General features: G+C 34.1%; 1 long non-coding RNA gene across 3 annotated transcripts; it reads left to right on the top strand.

The window, feature by feature from the left end:
• The first annotated feature begins 247 nt into the window (after positions 1-247).
• Positions 248-24,500, top strand: LOC105377300 (uncharacterized). 3 transcript variants are annotated; one of them, XR_938920.2, is made up of 5 exons: positions 248-353; positions 3,113-3,255; positions 4,558-4,648; positions 23,229-23,459; positions 24,407-24,500. It is a non-coding gene; the product is annotated as an uncharacterized LOC105377300 (long non-coding RNA). The 3 variants fall into 3 exon arrangements; XR_938919.2 differs by lacking the exons at positions 248-353; positions 3,113-3,255; positions 4,558-4,648 and adding an exon at positions 11,138-11,406; XR_938921.2 differs by lacking the exons at positions 248-353; positions 3,113-3,255; positions 4,558-4,648 and adding an exon at positions 19,249-19,333.
• The last annotated feature ends 1,454 nt before the right edge of the window (positions 24,501-25,954 follow it).

A 25,954-nucleotide genomic window follows, 5' to 3' on the forward strand; every position in this document is an offset into this window, starting at 1 on the left:
TGTTTCATTTTAATGGATACTTTTGAACAGTTTTTAAATTTGCTATACAAATTTACACCCAAATCAGTAGTATATGAGAGTGATTGCTCCATATGCTAGCCAACACTTGATATAAGGCCTTTTTAATTTTAGCCATTCTGATGTTTGTGTAGTGATATTATATTGTGGTTTTAATATTTACATCTCTGATTAATAAAGCTGAACACTTTTGCATCTATTTATTGGACATCTGAATATCTTTTTTGTGAAGCATCTGTGAAAGTCTATTGACCATTTTTCTAATGGGTTGCTTATGTTTTTCTTTTTTATTTACAGGAGATCTTTATATATTCTGGATCTGGGTCCTTTGTTGGGTATATATGTTAAAATATTTTCTTCCTCTCTGTGGGTTGCTTATTCATTCTTTTAATAGTTTTTTTATAATGAACACTGGTTTATATTTTAAAACCTTTTTATTAAATAATTATATGACAAAACCCATAAAGGACAGAAAGACTTTCTATGAAAATATCCATCCAACCTTTGCACAAGTGATACAAAATTGACTATGGTGAAGCCTAAAGTAACATAAATTTAAGTTAAACAGAAAGAATAATACTGATGATGCATCAAAATCAAAGAATTTCCCACTGAAATAGTGGGAACTCCAACTATTTGTATGTGTGTGCCCAGTAAGAGCTTTCTGACATTGCCGACTATTGTGTGGCAACCAGACTTCTTAGCAGAATATTAAATATTTGATAAATTCTAATGGCACACTAATTTTAATTTATGAATATCAAATTTTAATAACACTTATTAGTTCAGTGGATTATTGGTATTTAGTATTTAGACCTTTTTTATACATAAAATACAAGTCTCTAACACAGGTCTGATTAATTTCAAATAATGAATGAAAATTAGTCTTTGGCTTTTGTTTGCAGTCATATTTGCCTGTGGTCAATTATAACTTTCAGATGTTTTTCCCTACAAAGTTGGTGTTAACAAGTCCTTCTTTCAAAATATACATGTATTATTGTTTGTTGTCTTCTAACATAATACAAAATCACCAGTGTTATACACGTCTCCTAGATATTTATATTTTGTCGTCAAAGGGTATGATTTTGTTTGCTAGACATTTTTGTTCATTCATTTATTCATTTTGTTCATGTTTTCATTCACACATTCAATAAACTAGTTGCACAACTGCTAGATACTAGGAAAATGGCCGTGAAGAATTAAAAAAAAAATCCCTGCCTACATGAAGCTTACATTCCAGTGAGAGTAGATAGATAAACATGATCTATAAATGTAGTATGTACTTGTAAATATGTATACCTATATATGTATGTATAAATGTATGTAGGTATATATATACATATATATGTGTGTGTGTATGTGTATATATACATATATATGTATACATACATATATGTGTATATATACATATACACACACACATATATATGAGGAAGAAGCTCTGGCTATCTTGAGAAGAGCATTCTAGGTGGGAGGATGCAAAGATCTGGAGGCAGGAGAGTGCTTGGATGAAGATAACTTCCATATTGTTGTTTTGATGACTTCAATTTGACGCTCACTGAGATATGTACCCTTTCAATCAAAGTCACAATTTGGCAATTATCAGGCTTGTCCCATGAACTTAAACTAGAAATAGACCTGAAAACAAAATTATTTACTTGGAAAACATAATGTGTGGTTCTGAAAATTAGAAATTAGAACCACTAAATTCATCCGCTATTGAAAGAGTTCTGTGGCAATTTTGAGGCAATTTGATTTCAGAGGCTAAGTTGTGACTTGTGATTTTCATAATTGAGAATGACATAGAAAGTGTTTCTACGGTTTTACTAAAAAAAATAGTGTTACTTTATTTTGTGTCCATGGGATACTAATAGTTTAAAAGTAAGGAAGAGCAATTTTATGAAAGTCTGTCAGGAATTCAGAATGTTATTCTAAGGTTCACAAATAATGAGGCAAAAAGCCATAATTTTCATAATTGAGAATGACATAGAAAGTGTTTCTATGGTTTTACTAAAAAAAATAGTGTTACTTTATTTTCTGTCCATGGGATACTAATAGTTTAAAAGTAAGGAAGAGCAATTTTATGAAAGTCTGTCAGGAATTCAGAATGTTATTCTAAGTTTCACAAATAATGAGGCAAAAAGCAGTGTGCTGACTGTGATAACCTAACTCCAGAGATGCATGGTTACTGGGCACATTCGATCCCAGGGTTCTTCTATTAGCCTAAAACTCTCATCTTAGTGTTCTTTTCCACATATTTATAACTTGTGTGAAAAAAATGAACTGTTAATAAGATTAGATATTTATTCAATTTACATAATTTAGTGTGCTAATAAATTTGAGATTCATAAAGAAGCAAAAAGACTGCTGAACAGGACTCTATATGCCACTTTTTTCACCTTAAAGTTTAAGATTTTGAAAATTGTTATGCCTGTGAAATAGTTTTTAATCTAGTTCAGATCAACTTTTCACTATTCCTCTAAAAGTATAATGATTTTCTAGCAATTACAATAAAAATATTTTCATAAACATAGGAGTAATTAAGAAAAATGTCTAAGGAAGAACTACAGTAATTAACATACCAGGATTAAAGTTGACTAGCAAGAATTACTAGAGCAGTTAAAAAATATCCATATGTCTTAATAGAAAGTTGTTGCTACAGAGAAATGCTAAATGTTTAAGGTGATGGTTATAGTAATTACCCTCATTTGATCATTATACTATGTATAAATGCATTAAAATATCCCATTGTTTGCTGTAAATAAGTATAATTATTATGTGCCAATTATAAATAGAAAAATAAATTAAAAAGGAAAGACAGGAATCAGATTCACTGAAATCAGTATTCTGTTTTCTTGAATTAATCAAATATTGAATTCTTAATTCAATAGTTCTCAAGAAATTATAAATAACATCATTTACTTATGTATTTTTTTCTGCTTTAATTTATTTCTAGAGTGATCCTTTCTTTCCTCCTCCCTCCTTCTCTTTCTCTCCTCTCTTCCCTTCCTCTCTCCTTGTTTTCTTTCCTTTTATCTTTTATGTATGTTTTTATGTTTATCTGTATGACCTACCCAATTTGTTTAAATTTCAGAAGAGCAGCTATATGAGCAACATCTCATGACTGAAATACATCCCAGCATTATGTATGCAGCAATATTAGATGATGCTCCTCCTAGAGTTGTATCCCATAGGAGGTAGCCAGGCAATCAGTACCCTCAGCAAATCAGTGATGACGTGAGCAAATGATTTTACCTTTTTTCCATCCCAAGCAATAAGTTCACATATCTACTTGGTCAAATGTGGTTGCTTCTTTTCTCTTTAAATTTTTATATGTATCCTTAAAGTTAAAATAGGTCTTGATGGTTTTATGGGAAGGTATAGTGTTTGTAGAACATGACAAAATATCTTTCCAACAAGAATAACACTATACAGTATATGATGTCAATAGTTTGCAAAGTAATTTCATTTTTGACCTTCTTTATTATTTACGTGCAATTTAATTATTTGAAGTTACTTTTGTACCTTTCCATTATGTTTATTTGATGAAATTATGCTTATTGGGATATTACTAATACTTAAAATGAAAAAAAAATCAGAGATTGTTATATATTAATGGAAAAGAAGTAGATTTAACCAGCTAATTCATGTAACACATTTTTATTGTTCATTTATAAACATGGTTCCTGTCCTACTTAAACTTAGATTCATGTGTGGAGAGATAGACAATTGAGACATAAGCAAAGATACAAGTATATAGTCCAAATTGAGATGTGTGTGTGAAGAAAAACAATAGATGCAGTGGAGGAGAATGGGCTAGGGAGGACTAATTTTAAAATGTATGGTTAAAGAACATCTCTGAAGAGGTGACATTTAATCTGAGGCTTAAGTCACTGACTCAGAAGACTGAGTGAAGAATATTCCGGAGAAAGGAACAGAATGTGGAAAAGTCCAAGAGAAGGAAGAGTCCTGAATCTTGTTTGCTTCACTTCCAAGGAAGTCTCACATTTCCCCTTCTATTGCATCCATGACGTGAGATACATCTTGAGTAACTACTAGAGTTTTTTTTCTTTTTTTCTTTTTTCCAAACTAAAGGACTGTTTTGTCCTCATTACTCCTTTTTTCATGGATTATTCTATTTAAGAAAACCAATGTGGCCTCCCAGTGCCAGTGATTCTAAGTTCAGTGTGGTTTAGATAATTTCTACTGCTGATATTAGGTTGAACTATATAAAATTACTATTTTGTGGGTCAAAAACACGATTGCTTACCATTCCACTTCGTTCTCTCTGCATATTTCTATTTGCTCTGTCAACCCTGAAAGATCTCTAGTGCTAACTTTATCACTGGGATGTTTTTGGATAATAAATTGAAAGGCAAAGACTTATTTTTAATGGCATTCACTATCACACATTCTAAAACTGTTGAACTGTTGCAGAGAAAATTTGGCTGTATAGAAATATTTTTACCTAATATGGATAATCAAAACATGTAAGGGAATTGTGCATACTTTTCACTTTTAATTTTTTTGTTACATTAGGGCATCAAAATTCCAATATTCAAACAGATTTTCAAGACGGCTGACTAGAGGCACCCAGCACTTGGTTTCTCCATAAAGAAGAACCAAAACAGTGAGTAAATAATCAGTTCAAATAGATCCTCTGAAAAACAACATTGGAATTCAGCAGAGAGGTTTCAAGAAACACCTGAGGCAGGGAAGGAGAGTGAAGCAAGGCAGCCAGCCCTCTGGGATACCCTGGGAGCCCACAGAAGATCCTGGTTGTGAGGCAGAGTGAGATAAGTGACGTATCCCCAGTGGTCCACATTCCCACTGAGGATTCCTGAAATCCTAGCCATGGGAAAGCCCTCTCAGCCTTCACAAGCCCTATTACACAAGATTATTACAGGGAGCTGCTTGGAGTTCATGAGATGGCATTGCTCCAGAGAGGAAGCTCATGTTAGGTCCCACGTCCCCCAAGACCCAAGCAGCTGCAACATGACACCAATTTGAGAGCCTAGCATCCATTAGACTGTATACTGACATGGGGAATAGCCCCCATATCTTCACATCCCTGTAGCCCTAGTGACTTCCCCTAATATCCACCTGGAAGGCTGCCGTGGCACAACACAAGGTGGACCCGGCAGTGAGTACTGCCAGGTCCCCAGCGCTGTAGCCCACACAGTCCTACACTCCAGGTAACAGGTAGTAACAGCACACTGGAGAGGTTGGCCTCTGGACTAAGGGAGCCAAAGCAATGCAACACACAGCCTGAAAGCCACCTGCTGGGGACCACTGCCACTGACAGCAACCCCACCACCCATAGTAGCAGAGCTGCAGCATACATCCATATGCCCTGAGGACAGATTCTGCCTACCTACCACTGCTACTGCCACCACTTGATCATGCTCTTAGGGATTTGGGAATGGCCCTGAGTTGCCCTCCAAGCCTGTACCTGTGCCTGTGCTGCCCCTCCCGGTGTTCAAGCACACCGCCTGGGGACCTGGAGGAAGTCCAGTGGCATCTGTCACTCTGGGCATGTGGATGCACCATCAGGAGGTCTGACAAAAGACACAACTTTGCTGCTGGCACATGAGCATGCTGTCTGGTGGCCTGGGGATCACCCCACCCCCACCCCCCACAGCCTTCTCCTGTGTGCATTTTCAGAGGGACGTGAGGACAGACTTACACTGCCTGGCACTGACTCCCTTATTGCCCAGCACAGCCAAGGGCCTGGGGACTGCACCCACTCTGCTGGTCACCCTAGGTCCATGTGCATACCATCAAGGGACCTAACAACAACCTAGATCATCTGTTACTGGCATCCAAGCATGCAGTCTGAAGGGCTGGAGATTACCCCACTTTGTTCACAATAGTTAGCAACCATGCACCCCTACTGGGGGCTTGAGGACAGGCCCACAGAGCCTGCTGCCACCGTCACCATAACCGACCCACATATGTCACTTGGGAAATGGCCTGTCCAGCTCATTACCACCACCGCTAACACCAATGCATGCTGCTTGGGACCTCAAGGGTTGTTCCAACATTGCTACTGCCATTAATGATGTCATGCACACTGCCTAGGGACCCAAGGACCTGCCCCCATATGTATAATATTATATATTTAGTGAAGTAATAATAGCTGGAAACTTTTCAAGTATAGCAAGAGAGTTAGACATCAAGATACAGTAAGCTTACAGATCCTCAAAGGATACAACATAAAAGGTTCTTCTCCCTGGGAAATTATAGATAAGCTGTCAAAAGTCATAAACGAAGAGAACATTTTAAATACAGCAAGAGAAAATCAAGTACCTATTAGGGAACTCTTATCAGACTAACAGTAAATTTCTCAGCAGGAGAAATTCTTTCCTTAAAGCCAGGAAAGAATGGAATGATATATTCAATGTGCTGGGGAAAAAAGTCAGTCAAGAAAACTATATCCTAGCAAAGTTGTAATTCAAAAGTGAAAGAGAAGTAAAGTTTTTCCTAGGTAAGTGAAAACATGATATTCATCACTAAATTGGCCATACAAACAATGCATAAGGGAATCCTACACCTTGAAGTAGTATCTACCAGGATGGTATCTACCATCATGAAAATGCACAAAAGTATACAACTCCCTGGCAGAACAAACGAAAATGAGGAAGATAAAGGAGTTAAATGTTACCACTACAGAAAACCACCAAACCACAATGATAAACAGTAAGAAAGAAAGAAACAAGAGATATAAAAAGGATATACCAATAAAAAAATCTAAAAACCAGGAATAAGTCCTCATCTATCAATAGTAACCTTGTATGTAAACAGATTAAATTATCTACTTAAAAGACATAGACTGGCTGAATGAATTAAATATACATGAGCTAACTATATGCTGCCTATAAGAAACTCATCATCTGTAAAGACATACACTGAAAGTAAAAGGATGAAAAAAGACATTCCATGCAGATATAATTTGCACCCAGATATATAAAGCAAATATTATTAGATCAAAGAGGAAAGAGAGACTAAAATACAGTAATAATTGGGGCTTCAGTTTTCAGCATTAGACAGATTACCTAGACAGAAAATCAACATAGACACACTGGATTTAAACTACACTTTGGACCCAGTGGACCTAATAGGTATTTACAAAATATTTTATCCAACAGCTGCAGAATACACATTCTTCCCAATGGCATAAGCAACAATCTCCAGGACAGACCATATGTTAGGACACAAAAGAAGTCTCAAAAAATTTAAAACAATTAAATTCATATCAAGTATCTTTCCAGACTACAATGGAATGAAACTAGAAATCAATAACAAGAATTGTGGAAAGTCTAAAAATATGCAGAAATTAAATAACATGCTCCTGAGTGACTATTGGGTCAATGAAGAAATTAAGAAGGAAATAGAAAAAATTCTTGAAACAGATGAAAATGGAAGCACAACATACCAAAACTTATGGGATATAGCAAAAGCAGTGGAAAGAGGAATGTTTATACCAATAAACGCCCATTCAAACTCTTAAGTCTGGTAAATAAATTCAGTAAAGTTGCAGGATACAAGATCAACATGCAAAAATCAATAACATTTCTATGCATCAGTGACAACCTAGCTGAAAACAAGGATGCAAATTCCATTTACAGTAGCTACACACACACACAGACACAGAATCCTAGGAATAAATTCAGCCAAAGAGGGGAAAAATATTTAGAAAGAAAACTATAAAACCCTGATGAAAAACATTGAAGGGGACACAAATAAATGGAAAGACATCCCATGCTCATGGATTAGAAGAATTGATATCATTAAAGTGACAGTACTACTCAAAGCAATCTATGGATTCAATACTATTCTTACCAAAATATCATGACTTTTGGCCAGGCGAGGTGGCTCAAGCTTGTAATCCTAGCACTTTGGGAGGCCAAGACCTCAGATCATCTGAGGTCAGGAGTTCGAGACCAGCCTGGCCACCATGGGGAAACCCCATCCCTACTAAAAATACAAAAATTAGCTGGGCCTGGTAGCAGGCACCTATAATCCCAGCCACTCAGGAGGCTGAGGCATGAGAATTGCTTGAACCTGGGAGGTGGAGGTTGGAGTGAGCCAAGTTTGCGCCAGTGCACTCTAGCCTGGGTGACAGGGTGAGACTCCATCTTAAAAAACAAAAACAAAAACAAAAAACAAACAAAAAAACAATGACATTTTCACAGAAATTAAAAAAAAAATTCTAAAACTTATTTGGAACAAAAAAGAGCCTGCACAGACAGAATAATTCTAAGAAAGAAGAACAAAGCTAGAAGCATCACACTATCTGACTTCAAAATATGTCACAAGACTGTAGTAACCAACACAGCATGGTATTTACATAAAAACAAACACCACAAACCAATGGAACTGAATAGAGAACCCAGAAATAAATTCACTTATTTAAAATCATGATTTTTGACAAAGACATAAGGAACATACATTGAGGAAAACACACCATCTTCCATAAATGTTGCTGGGAAAACCAGATATTCATATGCATAAGAATGAAACTAGACCCCTCTCACTCAACATATACAAAAATCAAGTCTAGATACACTAAAGACTTAAACAAAAGATTTAAAACTATAAAATTGCTTGAGGAAAAAGAACAGGGTGAACACTTCAGGGCATTGGTCTAGGAAAGATTTTATGGCTAAGACATCAAAAGCATAGGTAACAAAAACAAAAATAGAAAAATGGGACTATATTAAACTAAAAATTTTCTGTATAGCAAAGGAAACAATAAACAGAATGTATGGACAACATTCTATATATTTATCCTATGTTGAATAGGAAAAAATATTTGAATAGGATAAATCTACACATTTATCGTATGTTGAATAGGAAAAAATATTTGCCAACTATTCATCTGACAAGGGACTAATATCCAGAATATATGAAGAACTCCACTCAACAGCAAAAAATCAAATAACCCCATTTAAAAGCAGGCAAGGGATCTGAACAGACATTTCTCAGAAGAAGATATACATGTAGCCTACAAATACACAAAGAAATGCTCAACATCACTAATCATCAGGGAAATGCATATCATAACCACAATGAGATATATATCATCTTACCTGAGGTATATAATAGTTACTATCAAAAAGACAACAACTAACAGATGCAGGTGAGAATGCAAAAAAAGAAGTCTTCTAAACTGTTGGTAGGAGTGTAAATTAGTACAGCCATTATGGATCACAGTAAGATCTATATGATTTTTTCAGAAGACTAAAAATAGAACTATCATACAACCTAGCATTTTCACTACTGGATATGCATCCAAAGAGATAAAGATCAGCATGTCAAAGGGATACCTATATCCTCATGTTTATTGCAACACTATTCACATTAACTAAGATATGAAATCAACCTAAGCATCTATCAATGGATAAATAAATAGATAAGGATAATACACACACACACACAATTGAATACTATTTGGCCATAAAAAAATGAAATCTTGTCATTTGCAGTAACATGAGTGGGACTGGGGGACATTATGTTAAGTTAAATAAAAGAGACACAGAAAGAAATATTACATATTCTCACTCATATATGCGAGCTTAAAATGTTGATCTTATGGAGATAGGGAATAGAATGATAATTACCAGTGGCTGGGAAGGATGTGTGCGTTGGAGAGCATGGGGCCTGAAGAGAGGCAGGTTATGGAAACAAAGATACAGTTACATAGAAGAACTAAGTTCTAATGTTCAATTGCACAGTAGGGTAACCATAATTAACAATAGTGTATTGTACATTTCCAAATAATTAGAAGAGAGGATTTGAAATGTTTCCAACACATAGAAATGATAAATGCTAGAGACAGTGGATATCCTAAATACCCTGACTTGATCATTTCATGTTGTATGCATGTAACAAAATACCATATGTATCACATAAATATGTACAGTATTATATATCAATAAAAACCAAAAAAGTAAAAAAATAGTGTTTTGAAATATTTTCAGTACATCATAATATCACTATTTCTTCTTCCATTCAATGTAAAATATTTTTGAAACTCTATGGAATTGATTTGTATAAAATTGCTATTTTTTCTTGATTTCTACCATAATCATAGGAATAATCATAAGCAGTTTTAACAGTTTTCATGAAAACTGGTTACAATCGTAGCAATAATTATAGTAGCACTTTCTAGTGCAATAGCAGTGTATGCACTTTGCAAAGTGCTTTCATATACATTATCAGATCTTTTTTCATAAGTAGCATTTAGTTTAGTTCCTCCTTGTGTTCATTTCTTGCATTTAGTTTAATTTCTTACTTGCTTGTTCGTTGTAAAAATCATTTGTGTTTACAGTAAATTCATTTTTTTATTAAATCTGTTTGGCTAATTGAGACATTATTAACCTATGACCAAATAGCCAGTGAGAAAATCAGCTCTGGGTTAAAGGTTACCATGATTTATGCTATGACTCTTTTGGAAACTTTACCTTAACTTGTGGTGCTCCTGTTTGGCTGGAAAAAGCCATATGGCCAATGAAAATGTGCAGAAGTTGCCTGAAACCAATCCACAGAGAGCTGGTAAACTATAACTTTAGGCTGTGATGACCACATGCTGCCTTTCATCAGCCAAGAAAACAAAAATAGCCAAGCTTTTTATAATGCTTTCTAAAAAAATTGTAAATCCATGATTGTATCTTCTATCAGAAAGTCTTAGTGGTAATACAGGTATCCTAGGTATGGGCCTCATTGATCCTCTAAAAAAAATGTACCACTAGGGAATTCTACTTCACCAACATTTTCTTGACAATAGTTGAATCAATCATGTAAATCAGTCTTAGGATTTAGCTGATTCTGCAGCATGGTGGTTTTCTTTGAAAAGAAGAAATGTCTTGATCCTGAAGACATTCACCGTCATCTAAATGTCTTCCCCTTGATTCAGTTTCTTACATTATAGACTACTTTAGTGAAGATATCCTTTTCTTGCAACAGTTATTCACTTAAAAAGACTTCAAAATATTATCCAGTCACTGAAGCTTCTTTGAAGAAAAATATGACTGCTCGTGTAAACAATTAATGGTTGTTAAGCATGGCAGTGTATATTATGACAAACAACACATGCTACATTATGCCAGCTGGTGTAATGATGTGATAATGTCTGACTCATTAACTCTGGCACACAGTTTACGATGCCCTTCTATGACAGGATTAATTGATTCACACATACATTAAAACAAAAATAACTAAACTGAAATTTAGCTGGAAGCCTGGCTCCTCATTTGTCATAAACCCTGCTGTTGGTGATAGCTGACAAAGACCCTAATGCCGAACGGGGTTGAGGTTCCCTTCCTGACCTCACCTTTCTTTCTGAATGGAAACAAGAGCCTTGGAAACAAACCAGAATGCTTTAAGGTAAAGTCTCCCCTAGAGAATAATTCATGCTGGAATATATATATATGCACATACAGTTTTCACAGTGAAATTGCTCAAAATACTTTTTTAAAAGCAAGTAGCTACAAACCAACCATTACTAAAGGGTGTCTGGTCTACCAGAAATACAGTTTAGATGACTTTTTGAAATACTTGGATGTTTAAAGATAACTCATCAAATACTTGTCAGAGAACTTTTTGTAACTGTAACTAATCCAGAATGATGTTAAGCAGAATAATAAACAGAAGGCTAACAGGAGTGCTAACTTTTACTCTTGGTCTCATCTACAATTTCATCTATTCATTGAAGTGTGAGGGTTGACAATGCTTAAAATCTGAGCCTAGGGAACTCTTCTTCACCTAAAACATGAAAAATGCAATAACAGTTCTATTAAATTGAAAGGCTCACTTATTCCAATACAAAATCCGTATTTGGCATTCTATGACACTTTCAATTAAGAACTAAATTATTTCTTTATTAAGTGTTCATTGTTTCACTTGAGATGATATTGTATTTAACAATTTCTAGTTGTTTTATTAAGTCAAAACTGAATTGTATAATATGATTTTTATTTCACAAGTGCTTCTATACACTGGATTTATTAATATTATTGTTACTATTGTTGTTACTAGCAATTTTGGCCCAAATGTTGGAGGATATAGAAAACCCAAAAGTTTACCTGAGTGTATTTTATTCAACATACTGAAAGACAAAATGTAAGGGGGAAAAAGTGAAAACGTTTAAAAAATTACAATTTCTTTAATTATTTTAATTAATTTTATTCATTTTACCATTCTTTGTTTTTGGAATCAGAGGATGCACATCATGTCCTTCTTTTCACATTGAGACTAAACAATTTACTAGGCTGGTCAAGTAACCATGATTTGTTCAGTGTTGTATCTAAAAAGAGTCTCAGGAGTCATTGTCATCTTGTAAAAAAGATATGGAATAATAAATTTACCTCTTCTTTTGCCTTGCTGATTTTTCTTGTGACATTAAGTTAGTAATTCCAAAACTTTTTGTTACCATAGGCTATTTTTTTCCAATTTTTTCTTCTATAAATCACTACTTATACAATTTTATTTATTCTTATTATAAAATCCATATCTAATGGAGACAATTTAGAAGATACAATGAAAACACAATGAAGAAAATTAAAGATTATCCATAATTTTATGACTCGGAGAGAAGCACAATTAACAGATTAATAGACTTCCTGTCTGAATTGTTTTATGTATATTTTTATATATTGTTTCTAAAGTTGAGATTATTTAAATATGATTTTGTATCCATTTTCTTTCTTTGGATTATATTCTGAACATTTTACATTTTATTAAATGTTTTAATAACATTATTTTTAATGACTATATAATACACTTGAAAGTTTCAATATTGCTGGTCACTTCATTGTTTTGAACTTTTATTTATTATATAACAGTAAGATTTACTGCAATGAACATGGGTCCCATAATTTGAAAGCATCAATCTATAGAAGAGTAAACTTGAATTTGTCAACAAACAATTCAGATGCCACACTGCTTAAAAGTTAATCAAAACATAGTAACTGCCATAAAATCTTGAGATCAACATTAGATATCAGTGTTGTTGCTCTGAATTAGTAATATTTCACCAAAGTGGAAAGGAAAATTTATGCTCATTTATTTCTCTCCAATTTGTCAAGAAAACACACGATGTATCTTCCATGTGTTGACATGTGAAAAAAACTCTGAAACCTACAAATTGACAACTAATACACTAGTAGATAACAGGTAAACTTTATAAGGATAAGTAGAGTAGAATTAATAGTGTGTGGTATAATTCACTCTCCCTATTTAAAAAAAATGGAAATATGATTTCCAAAGAGGTGACTATGCAAACTACTGCAATAGGAAGAATAAGCACTGAAGAATTAAAATATAAATATAGATATGCAGATTATTGGATATGTCTTTCAGCATGAAGGTACTTATTTTGAGGGAAGAAATATGCTCTATTTCTTCAGATGTGGGCTGTGTTGCTTCTCAGCATGCTGCCTTAGCTTCCTGATGACTTCTCAACATTTGCTAGTTGTACTTAATAGTCTGGTTTAGCATTGGGATAGCTTCCCTTATTTCACTGAGATCAGTTCAGTGTGCTGTCTCAATTCTTCATAGTTTTTTTGCTTTTTAAATTTTTTTTGAGTGTGTGTGCGTATGGCTAATCTTTTTGTTTGTAACTATTGTTTTTAGTGAAATTTGAGTAAGAATATTGAGAAAAATACCTTAGTATATAATTTTTAACAAAAAGAATGTTTTTAAATGTACAAAGTAGACCTGCCTATCATAAGCTTATCATACACTTGCAATGCCTATGTATACATAGTGCTTGTAGGCATTTGAGTTTGCAAACCCTTGGTCTGAGATTGAGCTTGGTTGAGGAAAGAAGGAGGTGTTACAGACAAACAAGACAACACACCCAATAGAGTCGGCTGAAACTTCAGTTTACTTTACAATCCCCTCCTGGCCGCACTGCTTTATAATTCCAAGTAACTCATCCTATTCCTTCAAAGATGGCTAATAATTAGGAAGAAATATGGAAAAAAAAAAAAAGTATGTGGCTGAGTGCAGTGGGGCAAGTCTGTAGTCCCAGCTACTTGGAAGGCTGAGGTAGAAGTTTCCCTTGTGCCTAGGAGTTCAAGTCCAGCCTGGGCAACATAGCAAGACCCCATCTCTATAAAAAAAGAAGTACAATAGTATATGCAAAGCAAATAAAGCATTTATGTTAAATCATATAATTAGCATTAAGAGTTTAGAGCTGTGTCTGCAAATAGTAAATACTCAATAAGTGTTAGACATACATCACAAAGTAGTTATAAAAAAGACACAGTCATCTGACAAGTAATCGTTTATACTTTCAAAGAAATTACAAACCATATAGTTACATTTGCTTGTAATATATACACATATAATATTTATAATACACATACATACATTCACATATATACAAACATACAGAGAAAAAAGAGCTATAAAAGGAGACACCATGATACAAAGGAGATTATAAAGCAACAAAAGATTAAAAGTTATCAGGCAGAGCTTAAGATAGAAATGGAAGACAAAAATAAACATTACTAGAAACATGAAAGCTATATTAGAATGACAAACTAAAATAAATACAAATAAAAAAGTCAAAGACACAAAATAATAATAGGCTTGAGGAAATCACTCAAAGTACTTGATAACAGAAATAAAATACCATCCACAGGGATCCAATAAATGCATAACTGGTACCCCAAAAGAAGAGAACAAAAGAGATTAAATAAAAATAAGTAAGTAAATAAATAAATAATAATTTTTTTAAAAAAGGAATTGAATTTGCAGATTGAAATGGTATGCAGTGAACCAGGGCAAACTGAGATCGAATGTTTAACACCGAGCTCCAGGATCTGCTCCAACTTCACGTGGCATTCTTCCCTCCTATCTACACAGTCTCATCATAACACCAGTCATAATGGATTAAGGATTCACACTACTCAAGTATGGCCTCATTTTTTAAATACCTGCAATGACCCTATTTCCAAATAAGGTCACATTCTGAGGTCCTGGAGATTAGAATTTCAACACATCTTTTGGAGGAACACATTTAATTCATAATACCTTTCTTTACCTTATGGGGAAAAAAATACTTTTTCTGTTTAATTTTGAGATGGTTGGAGATTTCTGAGATTGGAGCATTTTCCCTATTGCAATAGTCTTTTTTTTTTTTTTTCGGAGTAAAGTCTTTCCTTATCTAAGTTTGAATTGACAATAGTTTATAGGTAGTACAGTTTCAAGTTTAAATTTGTTATTCCTATCACCTTTCCATTAATCCACAAAAAATTAGTGCTCACAAAAAGTTGATGATTTGGAAGATTTATTTTTCAATAATGATAGTTATTTTTACTAAAACATAAAAGTTTTTTTAAACCATTTTCTTACATAAAAATCAGAAAGACAGCTAGAAGTGAGATGATTAGTTACTGGCTGTGTAAAACTGGAGTCGACATTTTAATTGGTTAATTCAAACAGGACTGCTTCTAAAAGTAGAGACTATTCATCGAAAAGTAACAAAATAATCATCCCTATGATTGACTATGACTTAATAACATTAAGCCAAAATCTAAAAATCTAATGCTTTACACTGTGTAAAAGACATCAGAATGTTTCACCATTTGTCTAAATATTTTGTATTATAAGAATAAATAGTTTTTTGTTTTAAAGTAATTTTTTTAGAATTTATAGTTTATTTTGAGAAGTTAAGATTAAAATACAGGAAATTTGACCAGTGGCCCAGAAATAATCCTTTAACATATGGTCTTTGGAGGTAGGCTATATTAAATATAATTTAAAAGATAGGCAACAAAAGATGTATAGGAGTATTGTTACATCAAACATTTTTGATGAAATCAAAATTTTAAAATTTCAGCATTTACTATTCAGATAAATGACAAATTTCAAAAGAAAAAATACTTTTAAATCAGTAATTGCTCTTTGGTAAATCATCTCATTCAGAGAATGGTAGAAATGAAGATTACAAAGCTACCAAAAAAACACTAAAGTACAGTTTCTAATAAGGGTTAGAAGGGGACAGTAACTTGGAAATCTGTATAGGAAAATAATCCCCAAAGGTTAAAATAATCTATAGTAGTTATTTAAAAGGAGAAATACAGAAAGGAGAGCTCTGCAATTAGTCACAGGAAATCAAGAGATGTTGTTAGAAAAGTCAAACAAATAAAATGTTTGCTCCTTAATATTTGTGTAATTTCCAGGCTCTGTTTCCTAATAGTAAACTGTAGACAACAGTAGGTAACACTCCAGGTCGCTGCAAGGATTAAGAGAGATAATATATATTAAATCCTTAATACATTGTGTAATTCATGGTAGATACTTAACCTTCCTCTAATTTCCTTTCCTCCACACAATTGATTTTTATCCACTGAGTCATAGGATAAATGGACCAGATTAGATTACAACTCTCTCAGTTCAGAATCACTTCAGCATCTCATTCAGAAAACAGCCTGAACCACACATTTATTTTAAAATTGTATTCTTTCAAAGAAATTGTTATTCGAGTTATTTTTACTTTCCAATGCGTCTGTGTCTTTCTCAGTCAAAATATGAGTTTTTCTGTGTGTGTAAATTTTTTTAACATCTTTGTGAAGATATTTTCTACAGATTACTGTAAATGAATATTAATTTAATATTAATTAATTAATGTAAATGAATATTAATGCATATGATATGTAAGGGTCCTTTGTATTCCTAATCACAGTGCAGATGAATATGCCCTGTCATGTGGGAATCAAAGCTATTGCTTTGACTTGTAATGAGTTGTTTATATGTTATGCAATGGTGCTGACTAGTGGCTTATTTTTTGAAGAAAACAACTTAAAATATGTATTTTGCATGGCAGAGCAGAAGTTTGGCTTCTACATATCCACTTAATATGACATTATCCTGCAATATTATACTTCATTTATTCATGCATTCATTTATTCATTCTGGACAGTCACCAAGATATTTATTGCCAATACACAGAGCCTGTACACAGTGCTTTGCTACACATGGGTTCAAACACATAACTAAACACTGTAGACAAATGCTACATTCCAGAAATTAAAGGAAGGTCATATATATAGAACTTAGAGAGTGAGGGGGCTCTAGTTGGGAGATGAGGCAGGACCAGACCACACTGAGCCTCAAAGTTCATATTAAAGGTTTTGGTATTAATCCTAGAATAGTGAAAAAAAAAGAGAGGAGAAGATAAGTAATTAAATTTTCATTTAAGTTGCAACTCACTTGTTTCTAAAGGGGATAGTGGTATGGTGAAAACCTGGAAGGATGCGAGGACAATAGTTAGGATGCTGTTAAAGTAAATATTTGGTCAGAAACAGCAATACATTGAACTAGGGTATCAGTAGCAGAGCTGGAGAAACGTAAATAGATTTAAGCAATATTTATGATCTAAGATTGGCAAGACTTTATGACAACATGGATATAGTTTAGAGAGCGAGGAGCTGTGTGGTAAGATGAACAGAGATATTAAGTAGGATTTTCAGGTTTCTGGATTCGAAGACTGGATAGTGACTTCATTCATTGTGATAAATAGAAAACACTTCAAGTGGATCATGTTAGGAAATAAAGCTATTTAGTGTAGTCTAATTTCTTTATTTGTCTTCTTCCCATACCTAAAGTTTGTAATACTTCATTGCTTTTGTCATTTTTTTTGGTAGATTTTCACCTTATTATAAAAGTAGTGCCTTTCATTCCTTTAAAATGGGGGGAAATAGAACTAAATAAGATTTAAAAATCCTTCATTTTTCAATCAGCTTTAATCAAATACTTGTAACAAAAATATTGGCTAAGCTAGAGTATGAATATATTATTTTATTTGAGAATTAAGTCTTTATGGAAATAATATGCATTTCAATCTAACTTATTGCAAAGTGTCTAAAGTGTAAGTCCAAGATTAAATCCAAATTTAAGATATAATTGCTAAAAGTTAGAAAAAAGTTTTAGTTAACAGTATGTCTTAGTTCAGACTACTAAAACAAAGTATCATAGACTGAGTGGCTTATAAATGACAGAAATTTATCTCTTAAGAGTTCTGGGGGCTGGAAGTCCAAGGTCAGGGTGCTAGCAGCTTCCAACTCTGAGAACCCTTTTCCAAGTTGCAGAAAGTCTTCCCCTTGTATCGTCACAAGGCAGAAGAAGAGGAAAAGAGAGCTCTCTAGCATTTATTTTATAAGGGCACTAATTCCATTCACAACGGCTCCACACTCATGACATAATTACCTCCCAAAGGCCCCACCTTTTAATGTCATCATATAGAAGGTTGATATTTCATTCAACACATGCATTAAGGTGAGCGGACACAAACAGTCTATTGCATCTTAAAGTTGGCTGGTACTCATTACATTGGAATTTTCTAATCAATTGGAGCAAAGATGGATTAGAGCTTGTTGTGATTGTCTCAAGAGAGTGATAACCTATTTTGACACATGAAATTTTATAGGTTATATAATAGAAGAATTTGCACTTTTGGATTTTATATTGCAGACAAGATGCCTGTTAATATCCCACTGTTCAATCGCTCCAACTTTAGTATCTAATATTGATTTTTTTTTCAGATAGGATATGTTTATACTCAGTGATTCTTTAATAAAATAACAAAGTGTTTATTAGGGAAATGTGCTGCATTTTGAATGAAGAAAATTCAGAAAAAAATAAGTACAGATAAATAAACAAATGATATAATCAACTTTATTCTGTTCAATGGCTGGCCATAGTTTGAGTAATTTTATTGACCCATTAGCTTTAAATCAAGAAAGACTTAATGGAAGACTTAGTGATAGGTACAATTTTTCAAAACACAGTGTTTACAATGGGTAAAATGTGGTACCTTCAGAATTCTAGGCTTAGATTTATTTTTTTACACTATCTTATGCATGACTTAAAATACTGCCAACTTGCCAACAGGTATTCAGTTGTAGAATGTGATAGCACAGTGGGGTAGACAGCTAAGTGGAATTTAAGATTTACTGTTGATGTGCTAAGCAGTATTAATATTATTATTTTATTATTATTATTGTAATTTTTAGAGATTTGGTCTTGTTCTATTGCCCAGGCTGGAATGCAGTGGCACTACCATAGCTCATTGTAACCTCAAACTCTTGGCTTCTAGTGATTCTCCTACCTCAGCCTTCTGAGTAGCTGGGACTATAGCCATGCATCACCATACCTGGCTAATTTTTGTATTTTTGTAGAGATGGGGTCTCAGTATGCTGCACAGGCTGGTCTCAAACTCCTGGCTTCAAATGATGCTACTGCCTTGGCCTCCCAAAGCACTGTGATTACAGACATGAGCCACAGTGGCAGACCATATTATTTTGTAAGTGTTTTAATTAAAAGTTTCTTTAGAAACATTTTAGAATTTTAGGTGTTACTTCTGTTGAAGAAATAATATAAAGGCTTTAAATATTAGGGAGCTATTCATTTTTTACCCATTCATCACATTTTGTTTTCTTTTTAATTGAACATCTATTCTCTGCCAAACTCTACTGGAAAAGAATACACATAGACACAAAAATAAGAGAGCTCCTAGCTTAAGAAAGCTTGTGGTCTAGTAGACAAAGGAGATAAACATGTAATTAAGATGTTATTTGTTAACTGCTCCTAGAGGAGTGTACAATAATTTATAGGAACTCTGAGCAGGTAACACAAAATTTAGCCTGGAAATGAGGTTATATTAGTGGAAGTCTTTCCAGTTGCGTATGATAGAATTCCAACTCTAATTGGCAGCTGAAACTGGATTTATTTGCTCACATAGCTGAACAATCTCCCTATATCTATTTGGAATTGAGTACTGAAAATCATAGAGTAATAGGAGTAACGTTCCCCATTTTAGTAGACTGGAGGATGGTCAAGCCTCTTTCATCTCAGTCTCTTTCAGCCCTATTGAGAATCAATTTTAGAGCCCGGAAGCAAGGGATGAAAAAGGCCAGGGACCAGACCACCTTTTAATGATTCTAGGTCTATGAGGCTGGGCTTGATTGTGTGCTGGCTTGGTTGGTTGGGTCAATAAACCTATTATAGTGGGAAGTCTGTTAGGGCAGTTCTCAAACGTGGCTGCAGATTAGAATCACTTCTATAATTCAAAAAATATGCCAAGAAATTAAGTCAAAATTTCTGGTGATGGGTTCTGGAATGAATATTTTAAAATGTTCTTTAGATGTGGAAAGGAAGAAAAAGGCTACATACCTATAAAGGAAGATGTGTAGGTGAGATTGTGTAAAGAATAGTGAGCAAAACAAATGGCACTCTTGTGAATAGAACACTCACCATTGCCTCTGCTCTAAGGCAAATCTTAGCGTGAATGCTGGAGCAGCCCTACATGACCAAAGGGAAGAGCATGAGGAGATGGCATTCCCATGAGACATCTTCAAGAAATAATGTTTATTATTTTCTTTGGTTTTATCCCCAGTCTGATGTAGCCCAGGGAAATGGCTATCACATTTTAATTTAATATGTGTGCTTGCCTCTGCTATAAAACTATACATTTTTATAGGTAAATTATCTTATTCATCTTCATATTCCCAATGTCTAGCTGACACGGTACTTGGTATATACAGGACACTCAGTAAACGACAATGGGATTAATGAATCTAGTGATATAGTACCACTATCTAGGGTTTTCCATATCTGGATTTAAAATCTGTAAAATTTTCTATTTGTAAAAATAGAAGTACTTACCAAAAACATACTTCTATAAATATTTGTGCTTTAAGAGGTAGCAACTCAGAAGCAAGTTATAATTCAAGATTGACCCAGAAGATCTCTGGGAATAAAAAGAATAAAATTCAAGTCTATGCTTATTCATTAGGAAAAAACCTCCAGCTCAATGAATTTTCTGTTGCATTTTAAAAAATTGGCCCTGTGATTACACCCTAGAGAAGAATAAACAGAAATTATGTCTTCTTATATAATTTATATATTCTGTTTAACCTTATGTAGTTATATCAAGTAAAATGTATGAGATATAAACTATTTAAAACTTCCATGAAAAATAAAAATTTCTGAAATATTAGCCCATTAGGAAAGGTCAAGTTTAAAATGCCATATTCACTGGACATTTGATGAGTTTTTTTTTTCTGTTACATAGTATGATCTTTAAAATGGTCATTTTGATAGCAGGTCTAATATCAAGTGTGTTTTTTTCCTACTGAATATTCCACATTCTCTCTGGCAATAAAGGTTCTGGATCCCGGCAAGGGCAATTCTTTTGAGGACGCATAAGGCAATTGCTTGTAATGCAGTTTACTTGTCCAAAGAGTTCTTGGCTCTGTAGTATTGACAATAACAGAAATGTATTTGGACATCCCAAACCCAGTCAAATATGACTAGGAAGACAATGAAAGGAACAGATGGATATCTTTACAGAGCAACAATTTCAGAGCCACACTTGGGGTCATGCCCATTTTTTTTTTTCCAGGAAATGTGAGAAAGGGAACAGATAAGGATCAGGGAGAAGGGCTTAAATCTCTCTGTGGTGAAAAAAATCTCTCTTTACATTCTTGAAGATTCTGAAAACTAAAATGCATATTATTTCAAGGTTATTATGCAAAGAATACTAAAATTTGAAACTAATGCTTTATGGATAATGTACCATGTTTAAAGATAAACTAGCTTTAGAGCATATATTTTAGCACACAAAGTCAAGTTCTTTATTATTAGCATGTATTTTCCTAGAAGACAAGAATAATTGAATTAAGATAAACCCTATGTGTTAAGACTTCTTTTGAAGCATTCTAATGAGAATTCTGCTATGGGTCTTTCAATCTCTCCCTTTTTTTGTTCTCCTATTGTTCATAATTAACTATACTTTCATTTCAATGCAATTACACTAGTACACTCGTATAACAAGAGACTGATGAGAGAATTTCACTTGGATTGTGGAAAGTTTTCAGGGTAGCAAATATTACCGTATTTCTTAGGGAATATTATCTTAAAATGCGTATTGAAAAAACATCACCTCTGAACTTTATTATTTGGAGAATAGGACATTTTTTATAAAAAAAACAATAACCAGGGGGATATATGAATTTGGAGAAGGGCTAACAGCATATTTAGAAATTGTTAGCATAATGATAATTTTAAGTTATTTGTTACATGAGAGGCATGATCCATGAGGTGGTATTAGATGTTACTTATATCAGCCCTGGATGGGTCATAACCACAAAAAAGTAAAGTTTTCATGTGGTAAAATATACACAATAGAAAATTTATCATTGTAACCATTTTAAGTGTACAATTCAGTGACATTTAGTACATTCACATTGTTGTGCAATCATCACCACTGTCCATCTTCAGAAATTTTTCATCATCCCAAACTGAAACTGCATGCTCATTAAAAAATAATTACTCCCTTTACCTAGCATCTGATGACATGATTCTACTTTCTGTTTTTAGGAATCTGACTGTTCCAGGCACCTCTTATAAATAGAATCATACAATATTTGTGTTTTTATGTATGACTTATTTCACTGAGTATATTGTTCTCAAGGCTTATCCATTTTGTAGCAAATGTCAGCATCCCACTCCTTTTTAAGGCTGAATAGTATTTCATTGATTGTACATAGCAGATTTTGTTTATTCATTAATCTTTCCACAAACATTTGTGTTGATTCCAAATTTTGGCTATTGTGAATAATGTTGCTATGAACATTGATGTACATATATCTGTTTGAACCCATGTTTTCACTCCTTTTGAGAGTATAGTTAGAAGTGGAATTGCTGACTTATGGTAATTCTATGTTTACTTTTTGAGGAACTGCCATACTGTCTTCCACAACAACTGCAACATTTTATATTACCACTAGCAATGCACAGAGGTCTTAATTTTTCCACATCCTCTCCAACACTTATTTCTGTTTTTTTTAATTGAATAGCCATCCTAATAGTATCTTTCTGTGATTGTGATTTGCATTTCCCTAATGACTAATGATGTTAAGCATCTTTTCCTGTTTTTACTGGCCATTTGTATATCTTTTTTAGAGAAATGTCTATTAAAGTCCTTTGCTCAGTTTTTAATTTGGTTGCTTTTGTTTTTGTTTTTGTTTTTTGTTATTGAGTGGTAGGATTTCTTTATATATTCTGGATATTAATCCCTCATCGGATATATTATTTGCAAATATTTTTGCCCATTCTGTGCCTTGCCTTTTTATCGCCTCTTGCCTTTTTATCACCCCCCTTCCTTGGAGTCATGAATTGTTGTCTTGATCATCCAGATCTGCGATGATTAAGAACACCTGTGGCAACACCAAACAGAGCCCACAAACATCGTGCTGATGAGCAAGGACTAGGGAAGAAGATGCTCAAGAAACATCCATGAAAACAACCAGGAGGGCTTTGAGAGAATGCGGAGCTGGAGCTCGGATCTTCCTTTCTGAAAAGCATGAGAAAACCCAGAAGGCTCTGTCTTAAGATAAAAAGACCAGGGACTTTCTAGGGGTCATAAGGTGAGGGGTTGTAACCTTTCCAAGATGAATCTGGGGACCTGGGGGGAAAACGATGTTAAAATCCAACAGTGCCAGAGATTAGAAGGGGAAGGAATCAGAAAGGAGGGAGAATCATATTACAAATGTCGAGGATAAACTACAGAGGAAACAAGATAATCAGTTTACTGTACCATATCAGGCAGGGGATAATAGTGATGCCTGAACTAAAAGTGTGAATGAAGGGGAAGGAAGAGAAAAGCAATTTTAAATTCAGTTCCCCTGACACACCTCTTTCCTCAGGAATTAATTGAATGTTGGAGAGAAACCCCTGTGTGATTATTACTGCATTTACAAATATCTCCAAGTATGAGCTTGGAGAAAACTGTTTTTATTCTTAAAATTGAAATCTTCAAAGAAAATTGGCAGTGTCATATAGAAGAAAGCTCCCCTGGGTTCTAATCCCTGCATTATCAGGCACAAACCAATCCTTGGACCTGGAACCATAAATTCCTCTGCAACCCAGTTTCTAAATCTTTAAGATAACGGGTCTGACATCTGTGATTTCTAATTTCCAGCTAAAATTCATGAGGTGTATGCTATAGTTTCAAGGTTTGTTTCCTCCCAAACAGATGTTGACATTTAATTGCCATTGTAACAGCTGTGAGAGGTAGGAACTTGGAGTGGTGATTAGGCCATGAGGGCTCCACCCTGATGAGTGGGACTGGTGCTGTTATAAAAGGGCAAGTTAGTCCCCTCTTACCTTCTGCCTTCCACCATGCAACGTCACAGCAAGAAGGCCCTCACAAGATGCTGGCCCCTTGATCTACAATTTCCCTTTTTCCTGAACTGTGAGCCAATACATTTCTGTTTATTATAAATTACTCGGTGTCAGGTATTCTGTTATAGGAGCAAAATGAACTACGATGGGATATATTTTAAATGTAAAAGTTTCTCTTTCTAAATTGTAGGTTAACTTATAACAGTCTTTGACATCTGGAAAATGAAAAGTAAACACCTGCAGTTCTCCAGTAGCAGCTATATGTTACATGACAAAAATGAGACACCATGAGATGCTATTAAAATATTTTGCTTTTGTCCTTGTTCCTCTTATTTGGGCATTGCATGATTCTCGTAATACATGTCAGGGCTGGTATAAGAAAGTGAAACTGTAGTGAACTCACAAAAACAAATGAGAGAAGAACACAAATACAAAGTACTGGACATTGACAAGAGCTGAAGGGTAGAAGCTGTGAAGGGATGAATGAAAGACAGACAAATGATTGTCCAAGTACTTATTGAGGCAAACATTTGGTACATAATTTGTTTTTGATACAACTGTAATGAATGTCATTCTTCTCTATGGAACAGCACGCCAAATCTTTAGCACATCGCTGCTTGGTGCCCAGTGGGCAGCAAATGCCCAATTGCCAATGCCACTTTTTAGCGCATGTTCATCTGCAGGATATTAAACAGATTGCCATCCTTTTGATGTTTGTGAATACGAGTAGTAAATACCATATGATATGACTCAATGAATTTGTTTCAGAAAAAAATAAAAAGACAAAGACGAGAATGGAGAAGGGAAAAGACGGAGACAAACAGGAGAAGGAGAAGGAAATTTCCTTCTTTCTTTGATAGGAAGGGATGAACTGGCAAATCTGAAAGGAAACAAATGTTACGGAAGTTAGTAACAAGCTTTGTATCTAGAAAAGAATGATACACCTGCCAGTTCACTTGCCAATTTCTGGCACATTTTGTGACTAAAGAAATGATTCCCCAGAGAATCTGTAAACAATTTTTTTTTCCGGGAATAGAAAATCATGAGTGAACAGAGAATTATTTCATTATAGTTCAGAATCTTCCAGAATGTGTCTGCCTTAATGGGCCATAGAATTTGTATGCGTGTATGAGTATGTAAATGTGCCCCAAATTATTCATTGGTCAAGACATTACTTAAGTTTCATAAGAAGTCTAATAAATGGTTATTATTACCTTCACTTTCATCTTTTAGATAGTAGGTATAGGTAGATGTAGTCCAAGAAAAGCACTATCAATTGGGTGAAATTAAAGGAACATTAGAAATCTAAAAACTTTTTTTCTAATCTTTCTTTCAACATGTTTTAATGACATCTAGTAAGTGACTTAAAATTTTCACCTACTTCATTGTATTAGATGATGTTGGATTAGACGGTCTCTTGAGCCTTACCTAACTACAACCTCTTCTTGCACATGAATGTAGTCTTGGAGTTTTCTTTGAGAAGACTATTTTTGAGAATACCAAACTCTACAGAACGAATCCTATTCCCCAGATGAATCATCTCCTAAATGCTAACGCTATAACTTTTTTGGATTGTGAAGATGATTTTCTTGTTATTTTCCTCAATGTTGTTAATTATAAAACCGAGCTAATGGTAAATATCTATGACCTATTTGAAATAGAATGTGGAAGAAGTGACCAGTTGATTCAGTGACGTGCACTTGAGGCCAGACAAACTTTTTCTCAGAGGAGAGAGAGA

The sequence above is a fragment of the Homo sapiens genome, chromosome 4 (assembly GCF_000001405.40).
Source record: "Homo sapiens chromosome 4, GRCh38.p14 Primary Assembly".
Taxonomy (NCBI): domain Eukaryota; kingdom Metazoa; phylum Chordata; class Mammalia; order Primates; family Hominidae; genus Homo; species Homo sapiens.